At 48.4% G+C, this 13,578-nt stretch overlaps 1 protein-coding gene across 2 annotated transcripts in view, besides 5 other annotated features; it reads left to right on the forward strand.

The window, feature by feature from the left end:
- RAB33A (RAB33A, member RAS oncogene family) overlaps positions 1-13,578 on the forward strand; it is a 74,248-nt gene that overhangs the window by 55,697 nt on the left and 4,973 nt on the right. Inside the window, exon 1 of one of the 2 annotated variants that reach the window (NM_004794.3) lies at positions 5,643-6,001. The exons of the other annotated variant lie outside the window; for it this stretch is intronic. Coding sequence (NP_004785.1) covers positions 5,744-6,001 — 258 coding nt within the window. The 5' untranslated portion in view covers positions 5,643-5,743. Of the gene's footprint in view, positions 1-5,642; positions 6,002-13,578 lie in introns of those variants that run through there. 2 annotated transcript variants of the gene reach the window in all.
- Positions 4,367-4,416: an enhancer, noted in NCBI's record as "active region_29940". NCBI's record gives its function as "activates an Ori minimal core promoter by ATAC-STARR-seq in GM12878 lymphoblastoid cells {active_cell/tissue: GM12878}" and the evidence as "EXISTENCE:reporter gene assay evidence [ECO:0000049][PMID:35858748]".
- Positions 4,797-4,856: a silencer, noted in NCBI's record as "silent region_20996". NCBI's record gives its function as "represses an Ori minimal core promoter by ATAC-STARR-seq in GM12878 lymphoblastoid cells {active_cell/tissue: GM12878}" and the evidence as "EXISTENCE:reporter gene assay evidence [ECO:0000049][PMID:35858748]".
- Positions 5,027-5,106: a silencer, noted in NCBI's record as "silent region_20997". NCBI's record gives its function as "represses an Ori minimal core promoter by ATAC-STARR-seq in GM12878 lymphoblastoid cells {active_cell/tissue: GM12878}" and the evidence as "EXISTENCE:reporter gene assay evidence [ECO:0000049][PMID:35858748]".
- Positions 5,226-6,180: an enhancer, noted in NCBI's record as "H3K4me1 hESC enhancer chrX:129305519-129306473 (GRCh37/hg19 assembly coordinates)". NCBI's record gives its function as "activates a minimal SCP1, AML or CMV promoter by ChIP-STARR-seq in naive and primed H9 embryonic stem cells {active_cell/tissue: H9 hESC(naive and primed)}" and the evidence as "EXISTENCE:reporter gene assay evidence [ECO:0000049][PMID:30033119]".
- Positions 10,263-10,332: an enhancer, noted in NCBI's record as "active region_29941". NCBI's record gives its function as "activates an Ori minimal core promoter by ATAC-STARR-seq in GM12878 lymphoblastoid cells {active_cell/tissue: GM12878}" and the evidence as "EXISTENCE:reporter gene assay evidence [ECO:0000049][PMID:35858748]".

Below are 13,578 nucleotides of genomic sequence, written 5' to 3' on the forward strand. Positions count from 1 at the left end.
ATTCTGCGCTCTTCTTCCCGCCTGTCACCTTTATTTATTAGTTCAGTTGTGTGTCCTAGATGCTGTATACCAGGTGCTACAGATACACACAGTCTCCTGCTGTGGTTTCTGTGCTTGGGAGCAGGATGTTAGCAAAAAGCGTTCGTGCTTCTCGGACTTTCTGGGAAGAGAAGTCTGCTAAGCAGAACTTTCAGTTATGGGAGTAGGGTGAGGGGCTGAGTGTAAATAAGTGTTTTGACTCTGCCAGATATAAGCTAAATTGGAAATAATGTTTTGGCTGCATGCAGAACATACAATGTGCCTGTTTCAAAGATTCAGCTTACATATTCATTTAACAAGTATTTATTGAGCACTTACCTCTTGGATTGTACTATAAAAGGGGCTCTGTTGGGTATGAAAAGTACGGATGGTCCCCGACTTACCCCTCACAATGGTTCGACTTACAATTTTTCGACTTTATGATGGGTTTAATGAGACCTAACCCCATGTCAGTCGAGGAGCATCTGGACTTAAGCATGGTTCAACTTACGGTTTTTTGACTTTATGATGGGTTTATCAGGGTATTAAATGCAGTTTCGACTTAACGATATTTTCAGTTTACAATGGGTTTATTTGGACATAGCATCTATATAGGAAGTGGCCACTGTCTAGTTGGGGAGATGACATATACCGGTCATTGAAATAATATCTGGTGTAGTGCCGGACAGAGCAAGAGAGAAGACTATGGGATGGAATCACTATGGTAGAACTTCGTGTAAGAAGTTATTTGAGTTGTGTCTTGAAGGATGAGTAGTAAAATTCAAACAGTAGAGGAAAAGGATTGATATTTCAGATGGTGAATACTTTCGGACCAAAGATAACATTTTTCATTGTTAAACATGTTGACCTTGGATCCAGACCAACCCACATTGAATCCTGGCTCTGCCACCTGGGCAAGTCACTTAATTGTGCCTCATTTTCCTCATCTACAAATCTCAGGAGGGTGTTCGGAAGACTAAATGAGCTAATATTTGTAAAGTGTCTTAGAGGAAGCACCATGCTGTTTGTTAAATGAAAAGGCTTGGAACTGTTTTAAAAAACCAAAACCCAGCACATTTTCGGGGGACAATGATAGAGAGTACATACTAAGAAGTATTGATGTGGTCAGGCTCCGTGGCTCATGCCTGTAATCCCAGCACTTTGGGAGGCCTAGGCGGGTGAATCACTTTAGGTCAGGAGTTTAAGACCAGTCTGGCCAACATGGTGAAACCCCGTCTCTACAAAAAATCCAAAAATTAGCCGGGCGCCATGGCATGCGCCTGTAATCCCAGCTACTAGGGAGACTGAGGCAGGAGACTCGCTTGAACCTGCCAGGTGGAGGCTGCAGTGAGCCAAGATTGTGCCACTGCACTCCAGCCTGGATGATGGAGCAAGACTCTGTCTCCAAAAAGAAAAAAATAAAGAAGTAGTGATAAAGACAGGCAAGTATGGTGGGGGGCCAGATTTGAACTGGCAAGAGTTGGGCCCTAACTTTGGAGGTAATGAAGTTACTTTTTTTTTTTTTTTGGTGGAATGGGGATAGAGAATGAAATTACAGGGCCGGGTGCAGTGGCTCATGCCTGTAATGCCAGTACTTTGGGAGGACGAGTGGGAAGATTGCTTGAGGCCAGGAGTTCCAGACCAGCCTGAGCACATAATGAGACATCATCTCTACCATTTTTTTTTTAAATTAGCCAGGCGTGGTGGTATGTGCCTGTGGTTCCAGCTACTCAGGAGGCTGAGATGGGAGGATCACTTGAGCCTAGGAGATCGAGACTGCAGTGAGCAGTGATTGCTCCCGTGCACTCCAGCCTGGATGACAGAGCGAGACCCTATTTCAAAAAAGAAAAAGAAAGAAATTACAAAGATACTCTTTTTTTTTTTTTTTTTTTCTTGAGACGGAGTCTCCCTTTGTCACCCAGGCTGGAGTGCAGTGGCAGTATCTCGGCTCACTGCAACTTCTGCCTCCCAGGTTCAAGCAATTCTCCTGCCTCAGCCTCCCGAGTAGCTGGGATTACAGGCAGATGCCACCGCGCCCTGCTAATTTTTCTATTTTTAGTAGAGACGGGGTTCCACAATGTTGTCCAGGCTGGTCTTGAACTCCTGATCTCAGGTGATCGCCCGCCTCGGCCTCCCAAAGTGCTTGGATTACAGGCATGAGCCACCTCGCCCGGCCTACAAAGACACCCTTCTGTGAAGTTTAACCCAGGAAGTAGTTTTGTTTTTTGGTTTTCTTTAAGAGACAGTCTCATTACGTTGCCCAGGCTGGTCTTGAACTCCTGGGCTCAAGCAATCCTGCTGCCTCAGCCTCTCAAAGTGTTGGGATTACACGTGTGAGCCACTGTGCCAGGCCTAGGAAGTAGTCATTATGTGGTGAAGATGATCCAGGGCTCCCTTACCCATTAAGCAGAGTAGATCAGTGTTCAGAAGTGCAGGCAATGGGTGACATTTTATCTAGAGCTCCTTTGGATAAATATTGAAAATATGGTCAGGCTCTGTGGCTCATGCCTGTAATCCCAGCACTTTGGGAGGCCGAGGAGGGTGGATCACTTTAGGCCAGGGGATAAATATTGAAAGTATCAATTCCAGGCCGGGCACGGTGGCTCATGCCTGTAATCTCAGCACTTTGGGAGGCCAAGGCGGGCGGATCACGAGGTCCGGAGATCGAGACCAGCCTGGCTAACACAGTGAAACCCCGTCTCTACTAAAAATACAAAAAAATTAGCCAGGCGTGGTGGCGGGCGCCTGTAGTCCCAGCTACTTGGGAGGCTGAGGCAGGAGAATGGCGTGAACCTGGGAGGCGGAGCTTGCAGTGAGCCGAGATTGTGTCACTGCACTCCAGCCCGGGTGACAGAGCGAGACTCCATCTCAAAAAAAAAAAAAAAAAGTATCAATTCCAAAGTAAGGTAAAAATTATTTATATTTACTTAACATTTTAACAGCCTTGCATTGATTTTTATTGATATTTGTAAAAACCAATAATCATGGATTGATTAAATACAAAGTTAATTATATCTGATGGCAAAAGAGACTGGAAAACACTGTCAAAATCATGATAATCAGGTACCTATGAAAACAACTGCATGTATTTGAAAGTAATTTAATAATGCACAATTAACACAAAGGGCATTGTACAGTACATTTAATTTTTTTACAATAGGTACAATAAGGTAGTTTTCCTGTCCTTTTAATTAAAAATTATATTTTTATCTTTTTTCAAAAGCAATATATACTCATTGAATTAATTCCAAAAAATATAAGTGGAAATCCCCCAAAGTCTCACCCCACAGAAGTAACAGACACCTTTTATTAGGGCAAGAAGCCCATTTTGAGATATCATATTTTCAGAAATCAAAGTTTCTTCCTTACAAAAGTAGACTCAGTGACAAGTTTTTGCTAGAAGCTTACATTGAAATAATCTTATTATGTACATATGTTTTTTTAATATCTCTCAGGAAGTTAGCATTAATTCTAGCTGTGAATTGGCAAAGGGCAAAGCCCCTTTCTACTTTGTGTACAGGATGTACCTAATTAATAGTTACCCCTCTCCACCTTAAAGCTATTCTGTAGATAAAGATCATCAGGGGCATTAACTTCCAATACAGAGGGGAACGATCCAGCAAACTAGGCATCAGACTAATCAAAACCAAAAATACTGTACAATGATGATTGATACATAATACAATGAAAATTGGTATTCATAAGGATGATTTTGGATTAGCCAACTAAGAGGAAATCCTTATCTGGGTAGTTTTAATGCTGAGTAGTATAATGTAGGGTTTTAGAAATGGGCGACCCACATATATGATAAAAGGGTTAGCTGTAAATATATCTGCTAGCTCAGCTAATAAACTTATTAACTGGAAGATGCCATTCTGAGTAACTTGGACGTCCTTGAGTAGTCACATTCCAATTTGCTTTCAGGTATATCACTGATGCACTGAATTGTTTTTCTCTCAGCAGAAATGGATTTGGTCATGTTTGTCTCTTCCTGCAGCTCAACCTCCCAAATAAGATGGCAGCTCAACTGTGCTGTTTGAATCCCTGACCTTGATGGCATTAGCAATAACTCACGAGTCAGTGCTAGTGACATGTGTCAGTGTTACCTTAGCTTATGAAATATGTAGGGGGAGAGGTAAAGTCTTAAAAGAAACAAATGGGTGCACTTTATCGTATGTAAATTGTACCCCCAGTAAAGTCGATTTCAAACAAATTCTGAACCCGCGAATGACTTTAGGGAGAAGGAATACTGGTCTTGACCAAGATGTGTGTGATGATTAGTAAGCTTTGGGCAGCAGCCCCCTAATACTGTAAGGAGGTTGTGTTCATTTATCATCTTCCAAGCATAATCTAGGCTTCTGGCAAATTAGACCCAACCACTTTGTTCTACATTCAGCTGCAGGGGGAGGTGAACCCTCCTAGGGATTCCCAACTCCCTCTGAAACTCCAGCGTTCTGGAGGGACTTATGGTTATATGGAGGGCTTGGGAATGGAAGGCACTGTGGAGCTTATGCCATTGTCCCAAGATCCTCCACCTGGGCCAGTAATGGCTAGCCCCGTAAACAAAGTCCCCTTTTGCTGGAACTGCCACCACTAGCTTCCCCCCCTTCTCCTAGCCTCTGTGTGGCCCTCTCCCGCGGCGGGCCTTCCCCATTGGCCAGCCAAACACAACCGACTGCGGCAGCCAATAGGAGCCGCTCTCCTGAACATTCAGAGGATGGGTGCGCGTGGTGTGATAAGGGGATGTTGGCGCCTGGTACGCGCCCCCCTACATCTGGCAAGTCTGTAACAGAAACAGTTACACCCCCTACACACGCACACGCGTGCCCGCTGGCTCCCTCCTCTCAGCTGTACAGGCCCCGGACAACCCACTGCGTGTCTTGGCAGCGGCCTCCCAGGCTGCCTGGGGCCCGCGAGTGCACCTGCTCACTCATTAAGACAGAGCATCCCTTTATCCCAAGGCGCGGGTCGGGTAGAGGGTGGGGGTAGAGGGGACGGGGTAGCGGGGACCGGGAAGGCGCGGCTCAGCTGCCCGCTGCTCCCGAGGTGAAAGAGGTGCCTCCGCCCCCACCCCATCCCCGCAGAGTTGCGTTGCTCCAGGGAGGCCGAAGTGATCCAGTGATGTCTTAAGGTGCAGCTCTTTGTCCTCCCCAGCTGTGCTCCCTGCCCGCTGACCCCGTGCGCTCGAGCCAGTGGGGGTGGGGAGCCCGAAACCTATAACATAAACGGGGGCAAGGAGAAAGAAGTCTATCCCGGGGTGGCGTGTGCCGCTGTCCCCACCCCGTCTCTTTCCTCCTGAGGCTTCTTCCCTCGGGTCCGTCCCGGGAATGCAGGCAGGGGAGGGTGTGGGCCGAGGCGCGGCGGCGGCTGGAGCAGCGCGGTAGGGTCCTTCGCCAGAGCATCCGGTCCGAGGGCGCACACAGGCAGAAGGCTCGCGGCTCGTCCACTCTCCTCCCTCTCTCCTCCTCTCCCTGGCTTTTGTGTTGGTGCCTCCGAGCTGCAAGGAGGGTGCGCTGGAGGAGGAGGAGGGGGGCCCGGAGTGAGAGGCACCCCCTTCACGCGCGCGCGCGCACACGGTGCCGGCGCACGCACACACGGGCGGACACACACACACGCGCGCACACACACACGCACAGAGCTCGCTCGCCTCGAGCGCACGAACGTGGACGTTCTCTTTGTGTGGAGCCCTCAAGGGGGGTTGGGGCCCCGGTTCGGTCCGGGGGAGATGGCGCAGCCCATCCTGGGCCATGGGAGCCTGCAGCCCGCCTCGGCCGCTGGCCTGGCGTCCCTGGAGCTCGACTCGTCGCTGGACCAGTACGTGCAGATTCGCATCTTCAAAATAATCGTGATTGGGGACTCCAACGTGGGCAAGACCTGCCTGACCTTCCGCTTCTGCGGGGGTACCTTCCCAGACAAGACTGAAGCCACCATCGGCGTGGACTTCAGGGAGAAGACCGTGGAAATCGAGGGCGAGAAGATCAAGGTGATCCAGGGGGTCAGGTCCAGGAAGGGTGGGACCCGGGAGGGGACCTCGCCCGAGGCATAGCTCTAGCGGTTGTCGTCGTCCAGCGTCCAGCGCGTGGCGGTTTCGCCTCTTGCTGAGCCGAGGACCCTCGGCTCCTCCTCACCCCTTTTCACCTCTCTCAGCGGGGCCCCGTCCCCACTTCACTCAGTTTTTTAGGGCGGTTGAGAATGGGGTTGCATTCTTACCCTTAGCCCCTGCCTGACAGGTCCTGCCAGGAAAAGCATGTTGGATTCCCATCCATGACCCCTACCCCGAGCAGCGGCACCTGTGGGCAGAGGGAGGCAGGAGGCATCTGTGGGTCCTAGTCTCTGGGATGGATCCCAAAGCACTTTACACATCCTGATGTCTCTTCTACTGCTTGGGTGCCGATAGGCTGCAAAACCCCACTTTGGCTAAGCCTCAAGGCGTTAGAGGGAAGGAAATGATGGAAATCCATGGAGAATGAAAAAGCTGCTTTATTTTAAATTGCAGTTTATAGTTAAAAAATTAGGGCTGAGTTGAGATGGCGGTGGAGTGGGGTGGTTCTGGCAGAAAGCCATGAGCCCTTTTAAAGAAATTGAGGCAGGGTCCAGCCCTTCGTAATAGACAAAACTTGTTTTTTTGTAACAGCCCCCCTGGAATGATATCTTCTTTACTTGTCTGGGGCATCTAATACATGAACTGCTCCTTATTCATTCTGTTGGTATTGTCTTCAGGTCTTTGTAAAAATGCAGTGACTTAACCGAGGGCCAGGGGAATGTTCAATCCTCCCCCTCCATGAGTTTATGTAATAGGCTAAGTGCAAATATTCTTGTCTGACCATTTGTGCTCACCTTTAATTCAGAAAAGGTAGAAACCTGATATGACAGGAATATGTCAATGTGCAGGGGATGGCGGGAGGGAGGACATAACAAGGGCAACTTCTTGTGTCATGGGGAGCAGAGGGGGGCCTCTATAAAGGCACTGGGATCACTGAAGACAACTCCTCTAGGCTCACAGCTGGCCTTTCCTTGAGCGTATGGTTGGACCTTAGACAGAGTCAGGGGTGACAGTAAGCCTCCTTCTTGCTGGTCAAACTGCCAAAGTGACCACAAGGCCCCTCCTCTGAGTGACGTGGAGAGAAGGGCTGAGTAACTGATGAAACTGATGAAACACTTGAAACTGTGCGAGACTCCTGACTCCTTGATTATTAAAATGAACGTGTTCTAAAAATGGCTTCAGAAACTAGGCCAACTCACTAGATGTCAGGAAGATGGACAGCTCAGTACTGATAAGGGAGAGCCCCAGGGTAGGAAGATAGAACATTATTTTGAAATCGTGATCTTTTTTGCCCCTTGCATTTTGGAAGGGAAGTGCTACATTTCCTTTTAAAGTCAAAGGCGGTATCTGTCTCTGTCCTTTCCTGGGGCTGTTGACATTTGCTTGGTTAAGACTTCCTCTAGTGTGTCTAGCTTCTTTAATGTAAGGCTATAAGATTCTAGAATTTCTAAAACATGACTTTGTAATCCAAAGTAGAAATATCTTTACAGATGGGCTCTTAAACCTCAAAAACCTAATGCTCCCATTTGCTTAAAATCAAGTGCTACAGTGAGCCAAAGAGTTCCCTGGATTTAAAAGGTGGGAAATAAGTCCATCTGAAATTTAGATGGAAAAAATGAAGTGTTTGGGAATCTAAAGAAGGAGGGAGGAAGAAGCTAGAAAGTGAGGGATGACAGATGAACACGAGTGGAAGAGTCACCACCCAGTGGCCTTGAAGGAATTTTTAAACTATTCCTTCTCTTCTAACACCCCAGTACTTAGCCAAACTGGACTTTACAGTCTCTGGCAAAGATTCCAGACTTTTTCCCAGAGGGCAGAGCCTGTGACAGTGTGACTCACTAGAAACAGAGCTCAGCACAACACCACGTGCAGATAAGTGCTTAATACAGGCTTTTTTGGGGAAGATGATATTTTCAAGGGGACAAAGCCTTGTGACACTGCTCATGGAGGAGTCCTCTGAGGGCAGATTCCAAAGGAGCTCAGAGTGGCGTGTGGGAGTGGGGAGATGGTGACCCTGCTTCTTGTAAAGCTGCTGCAATCTCAGGACCATGCTGGCAGGCGAGAGACCAGCATGTCTGTGGGAAGATGGCAGAGCCTGGCGGCTAGCACGTGATCTAGATAAGAGAAGATTTGGCCTCGCACTCTGGCTAGCCTGAAGTTGTTCAAGGAATACATGCCAAAGCCATGCTTGGAGATGACTGCCAAGGGCTTCGTCCTTTGCGAGAGAGAGAAAAGTCCAGTGTGACAGTCCGAGGTCTGGCCTAGACCATGGCCAGCAATAGAAGGCTTTTGGGCTGTAACATACCAGCCCTTGGAGGAGAGTGGTAGAGAGGTCTCAGCCAGCTCTTCTCAGTCTAAGAGCAAGGGTGTGGCCTCTTCTGGGCTGCCTGCCTGTGTCCCGGGGTAGCACATACATGAACCCCTGCTAGGGACAACTGATTTGGTGTAGTTAGAGCCACACTGTAATTAATTATCAAGGCCATCCCTAGGGTATTGAAGCCCCATTTGCTGTCTCCAATCATTATGTTCCCCACCCTCACCCCATCAAAGCATTTACAATTGAGTCCTGATGAACTCAATTGTATGAACATCAAGAAAAGCCTCCAATGAGTAGGCAATAATAATAATAATAATAACAACTATGTATTGAATAAGCAAAGAGCCCAGGCTAGGCACTTTACATGCATTATCTTATTTACTCCTCACAGCAGCTTTATGAAATCAGCAGTATTGTTATCATTCCCATTTTATAGATAAGGAGACTGAGGCTAAGAGAGATGAAATAACCCAGTGGCACATGGATCTGAGCTTCAGCCTTTGACTCTTGAGCCCAAGCACTTCGCCACCTCACTATCCTACCTTTCCTGTTACAGGGCCACGATTTCAACCCAGATTCAGAGACCATGCCCTTTACCACTGCATTTCACTCTACAGGACAATATTCAGTCCCCTAGATTGGGGGAGTTTGACAGGGGGAGATAGAATGCCAGGCAGCCAGTCTTGCTCTTTCTTCTAGGCCAGGGACTTAGGGTTATAGCCCAAGGCCCCCAGGAGCCTTTCAGATGTCTCCTTCAATTTGTATCCAGGACACACAGAACTCAACTGGGTTTACTTTTTTTTTTTTTTTTTTTTTGAGAGGGAGTTTCACTCTTGTTGCCCAAGCTGGAGTGCAATGGCACGATCTCAGCTCACTGCAACCTCGGCCTCCTGGGTTCAAGCAGTTCTCCTGCCTCAGCCTCCTGAGTAGCTGGGATTATAGGCACCTGCCATGATGCCCAGCTAATTTTTATATTTTTAGTAGAGATGGGGTTTCACCATGTTAGCCAGGCTGGTCTCGAACTCCTGACCTCAGGTGATCCACCTGCCTCGACCTCCCAAAGTGCTGGGATTACAGGCGGGAGCCCTGGGTTTACTTTTTGCACCTTGATTATCTCAACTCAGGTGTGAGATGCAGAAAATGTTCAGAGATAAAAGAGATGTTACAGATTCTGTGATCCAGTGTCCTCCTCTTGCAGATAGGAAACTGAGACTCAGAGAGGGAAAGTGACTTGCCCAAGATCACACAGGGCCAGGCCTAGAACTCATGTCTCCTAATTCCCTTTCTGGTGCTCTTTCCACACATCATGCTGCCTGGCACAAAATCCTCTCTCCAGCCTAGCTCCATGGTCCATCCAACCCACAAGGCCACCTATGACAAGAATCCAGAGGGACATCATAAGAGATAGCTGACAGTCTTTCCTGACATCAGCCTAGGAAGGGTGGAGGCATCCCCCAGCCCCCAAAGGAAGAGTGGAGCTTCCCTTAATGACTATGATGTGTCTGTCACCTACAGATGTAGCTAAATTTATTGAGTCTGTCTCCTAAATGCATTGGAAAATGCCGAATAGGGGTGTGTGTGTGTGTGTAGAGAGGGAGGGTATGTAGTAGAGGGGAGGCTAAGAAACTAATTTTTGAATCATTCTTTGTATATTTGCATGGAAGCTTCACTTCTGTCTATAATAGTTTGGTTCCTCCCACAGGCTGGGCACTCCCTGTGCCCCAGCCCTGGGGACAAGACAAACTGCAGGTCAGCTGTGGCTATGGGCAGGTACAGCTCAGGACTGTGAGTTTCTGTTCCTCTACTGATCACTGGGGGAAAAAAAATACCTTCCTGTGTTACATTATCAAGTGGATGGAGGCTGAGCTAAGTGTTCCTTGGAAGCTGCCTGCAGTCAGAATGACATCATTTCTTCCTTAGGGCTTCTGAGCTTCTATCTTCTGCCAGTTAACTTAATGGTTAATTATCCATCAGTGTAAGTTTCTCTGTCTCCCTTGCTGCTTCTTTCTGTGTGTGAGTTTCTCTTTGTCTCTGTCCTCCTTTGCCATTCTCTGTGTCAGCTTTGTGTGTGGATCTTAGATGCAGATGGGACAGTCCAGCTAGTTGAAAACAGGTTTCTTTTAAACTTTTCCCATCATCCACTGGGGCATGCTCCAGAGGTTACAGATGTATTTGTCTCCTTTTTTTGCACTTCTACCCTCCCCCATCGGCCTCCAACAAAAGCACATTCATGCCTCATCTATAGAAAGATGCCAGTTAATGTTTCCTAGGGAAAAGAAATCCCCCTGTCAGCTAAGAGCACATGCAGGGGGTTGGGGGCTTGCTGAAGCTCGCCCAGAAAATAGTTCAAAAGGTTAGATATCTCTTTGGCAGTTCCCCATGCTGTGCCCCTCCATCCTCCTCCAGCACCCCATCAGTTCGGGCCTGCCCCCGGCCACCCATGGCATGTTGCCAGTATTCCTCTCTCCACCCCCTCCCCACTGGATGGCCTTTAGCTCTGTCTCACCTTCGAGAAGCCAAGCTTTCTGTGATTTCCAGGATGAGAGACCAATGGACCCAAGGAACCATACCAACAGGAGAGGGCTTGATGGCCTTTCTGAGACCAGAGCAACAACTAATATTTGCAGAGTGCTTGACATTTTCCAAAAGTCCTTTCTCATGTGTTATTTCACTGGATCATCCCAGCAACCATAGGAGGATCAAGGTCCCATTGCAGAGATGAGAAAAACAAGGCTCAGTTCAGGGAGGTTAAAAGACTTGTCTGGCATTTACTCAGCTTCTGAGCAGAAGAGCTGGGATGCTTGCTGCCTTTCCAACAGTGCTTGCTCAAGTTGTTGCCCATCTAGACTTAATGGTGGAGGTTTCAGGCCATGAAAGAAGGGAGAGTGTATATTAGGCACTGGGTCACATACTTACAAGGACTACTAATCCTCATAGCATCCCTACCTGATTACTATTGTTATCATCACTTTCCAGATGAGGACACTGAAGTCAGAGAAAGTAACTTACCTAAGGACACCTAACTTATCTAAGGACACCTAACAAGTCATGTACTAACATGACTTGGGCCGAGATCTGCACCCAAGTTGATTTGACTCCACTATACCCCATTGGCCATCTGACAGAAACAAGGATCTGGGGTACATGTATGTGGCTGTGGCTAAGAGGCAGTCTTCACCCCCATCCACTGTATGGATATGGTGCCCACAGGAAAGGAGGAAAGGGTGAGAGGAGAGGCAGCTGCGAAAGAGGAAGGAGATGCTTTCACTGCTTGGCAGGGGCCAGGGGTTTATGAAGATGCTGAGAAAGGAACACCTAACTCTCAAACAAAATGAGATCACTGCTAGGTAAGGTGGCTTGCCAGCACTTTGGGAGGCCGAGGCAGGATGATTGCTTGAGCCCAGGAGATCCAGACCAGCCTGGGCAACATAAGGAGGACCCCATCTCTATGAAATAAAAAAAATATGAAAATTAGTTGGGTGTGCTGGTGCGTGCCTGTAGTCCCAGTTACTCCGAAGGCTGAAGAGGGAGGATTGCTTGCGCCTAGGAGGTTGAGGCTGCAGTGAGCCATGATTGCACTGCTGCACTCCAGCCTGGGTGACACAATGAGATCTTGTCTGGAAAAGAGAGAGAGAGAGAGAGAGAAAGAGACCAGGCGTGGTGGCTCACACCTAGAGTCCCAGCACTTTGGGAGGCCCAGGTGGGCAGATCACTTGAGCCTAGGAATTTGAGACCAGCCTGGGCAACATGGGGAAACCCCATCTCTACAAAAAATACAAAAATTAGCCGGGTGTGGTGGTGCATGCCTGTAGTCCCAGCTACTCGGGAGGCCAAGGTGGGAGGATCACCTGAGCCTGGGGAAGTTGAGGCTGCAATGAGCCGAGATCATGCCACTGCACTCCAACCTGGGTGACTGAGCGAGACCATGTCTGATTTTTTAAAATTAATTAATTAATTTATTTATTTATTTTTGAGACAGAGTCTTGCTCTGTCGCCCAGGCTGGAGTGCAGTGGCGCCATCTCGACTCACTGCAAGCTCCGCCTCCCAGGTTCACGCCATTCTCCTGTCTCAGCCTCCCGAGTAGCTGGGACTACAGGCGTCCACCACCACGCCCAGCTAATTTTTTGTATTTTTTAGTAGAGACAGGGTTTCACCGCGTTAGCCAGGATGGTCTCGATCTCCTGACCTTGTGATCCACCTGCCTCGGCCTCCCAAAGTGCTGGGATTACAGGCGTGAGCCACCGCGCCCGGCGATTTTTTTTTTTTTTTTAATGAGATCATTTCATGTGTTTAGGGAGCCTGCCTGCTGTGATCTTCCTTTCTGATGGTTCTGAGGCCACACCACTGGTTCTTCTATTTTCTGCTGCGAGCAGCCTGCTTCCTGGCTCCCCTCTCACGACAGACACGTCTGCAAAGAACTCAGGGTGGGGTTTACAAAGAGCTGGAAGGGAGCAGTGCCTGCAGTTTAAATTCGGAGCCTCCAAATAAAAGCTTCAAGGCTCCCAATAGTGTTGGAAAGACAGAGGAGGTCTCCAGCAGAGAGGGCCCTCCTGGCAGTTCCGGCAATTTGGGCGGCATACGCAATTATGAAGCCAAAGAAAAGCCAAATGGCCAACCTCACTCAGCCTCAAACACCTCACACACTCCCACCCGTGTTCCTGCTAGTGGCAGGTATTTTTAGAGTCCTGAGCTCATGGTGTTAAAGCATCTGCCACATGCCTGAGGGCTGGTAGGGATTCAGACTTCTTCAGAGGCAAAAGGCAAGAGTGAAGACTCCTGGGGGGTGGGGGGAGTGGGGATCAGGAGCCAAGTGGTAATGATATTCCTGGGCTATGCCTGCTGTCTTCCTACTGACCTCCATTCCTCCTGTGGTCTGCTCTCCCTTTCTTCCTGTTCGGAACACCACGGAGAGGTGGAAGAAATGAAAATATTTTCTGTCTCTTGCTTGCAGAAGCAAATCAGTCTTTGAGGACTTATGTTTTTTCTGTGTGATCACAGTCAGACGTTCTCTCTGAAATCCCCTTGGCACATATCTAGGATGCCAGACTGCTTGTAGTTTTAGTGGTTCAGGCCATCACTGCCTTTTGATAATGTGTCTGCTGCTGATAATGATGATGATGACAACCTCAGTGACGAGTGTGGTCTGATGCAGAAAAAGACTGCTTACAGTCTTGCTGGAGAGATGCCAAGAGCACTGAC

This window comes from Homo sapiens, chromosome X (assembly GCF_000001405.40).
Source record: "Homo sapiens chromosome X, GRCh38.p14 Primary Assembly".
In the NCBI taxonomy this organism is placed as follows: domain Eukaryota; kingdom Metazoa; phylum Chordata; class Mammalia; order Primates; family Hominidae; genus Homo; species Homo sapiens.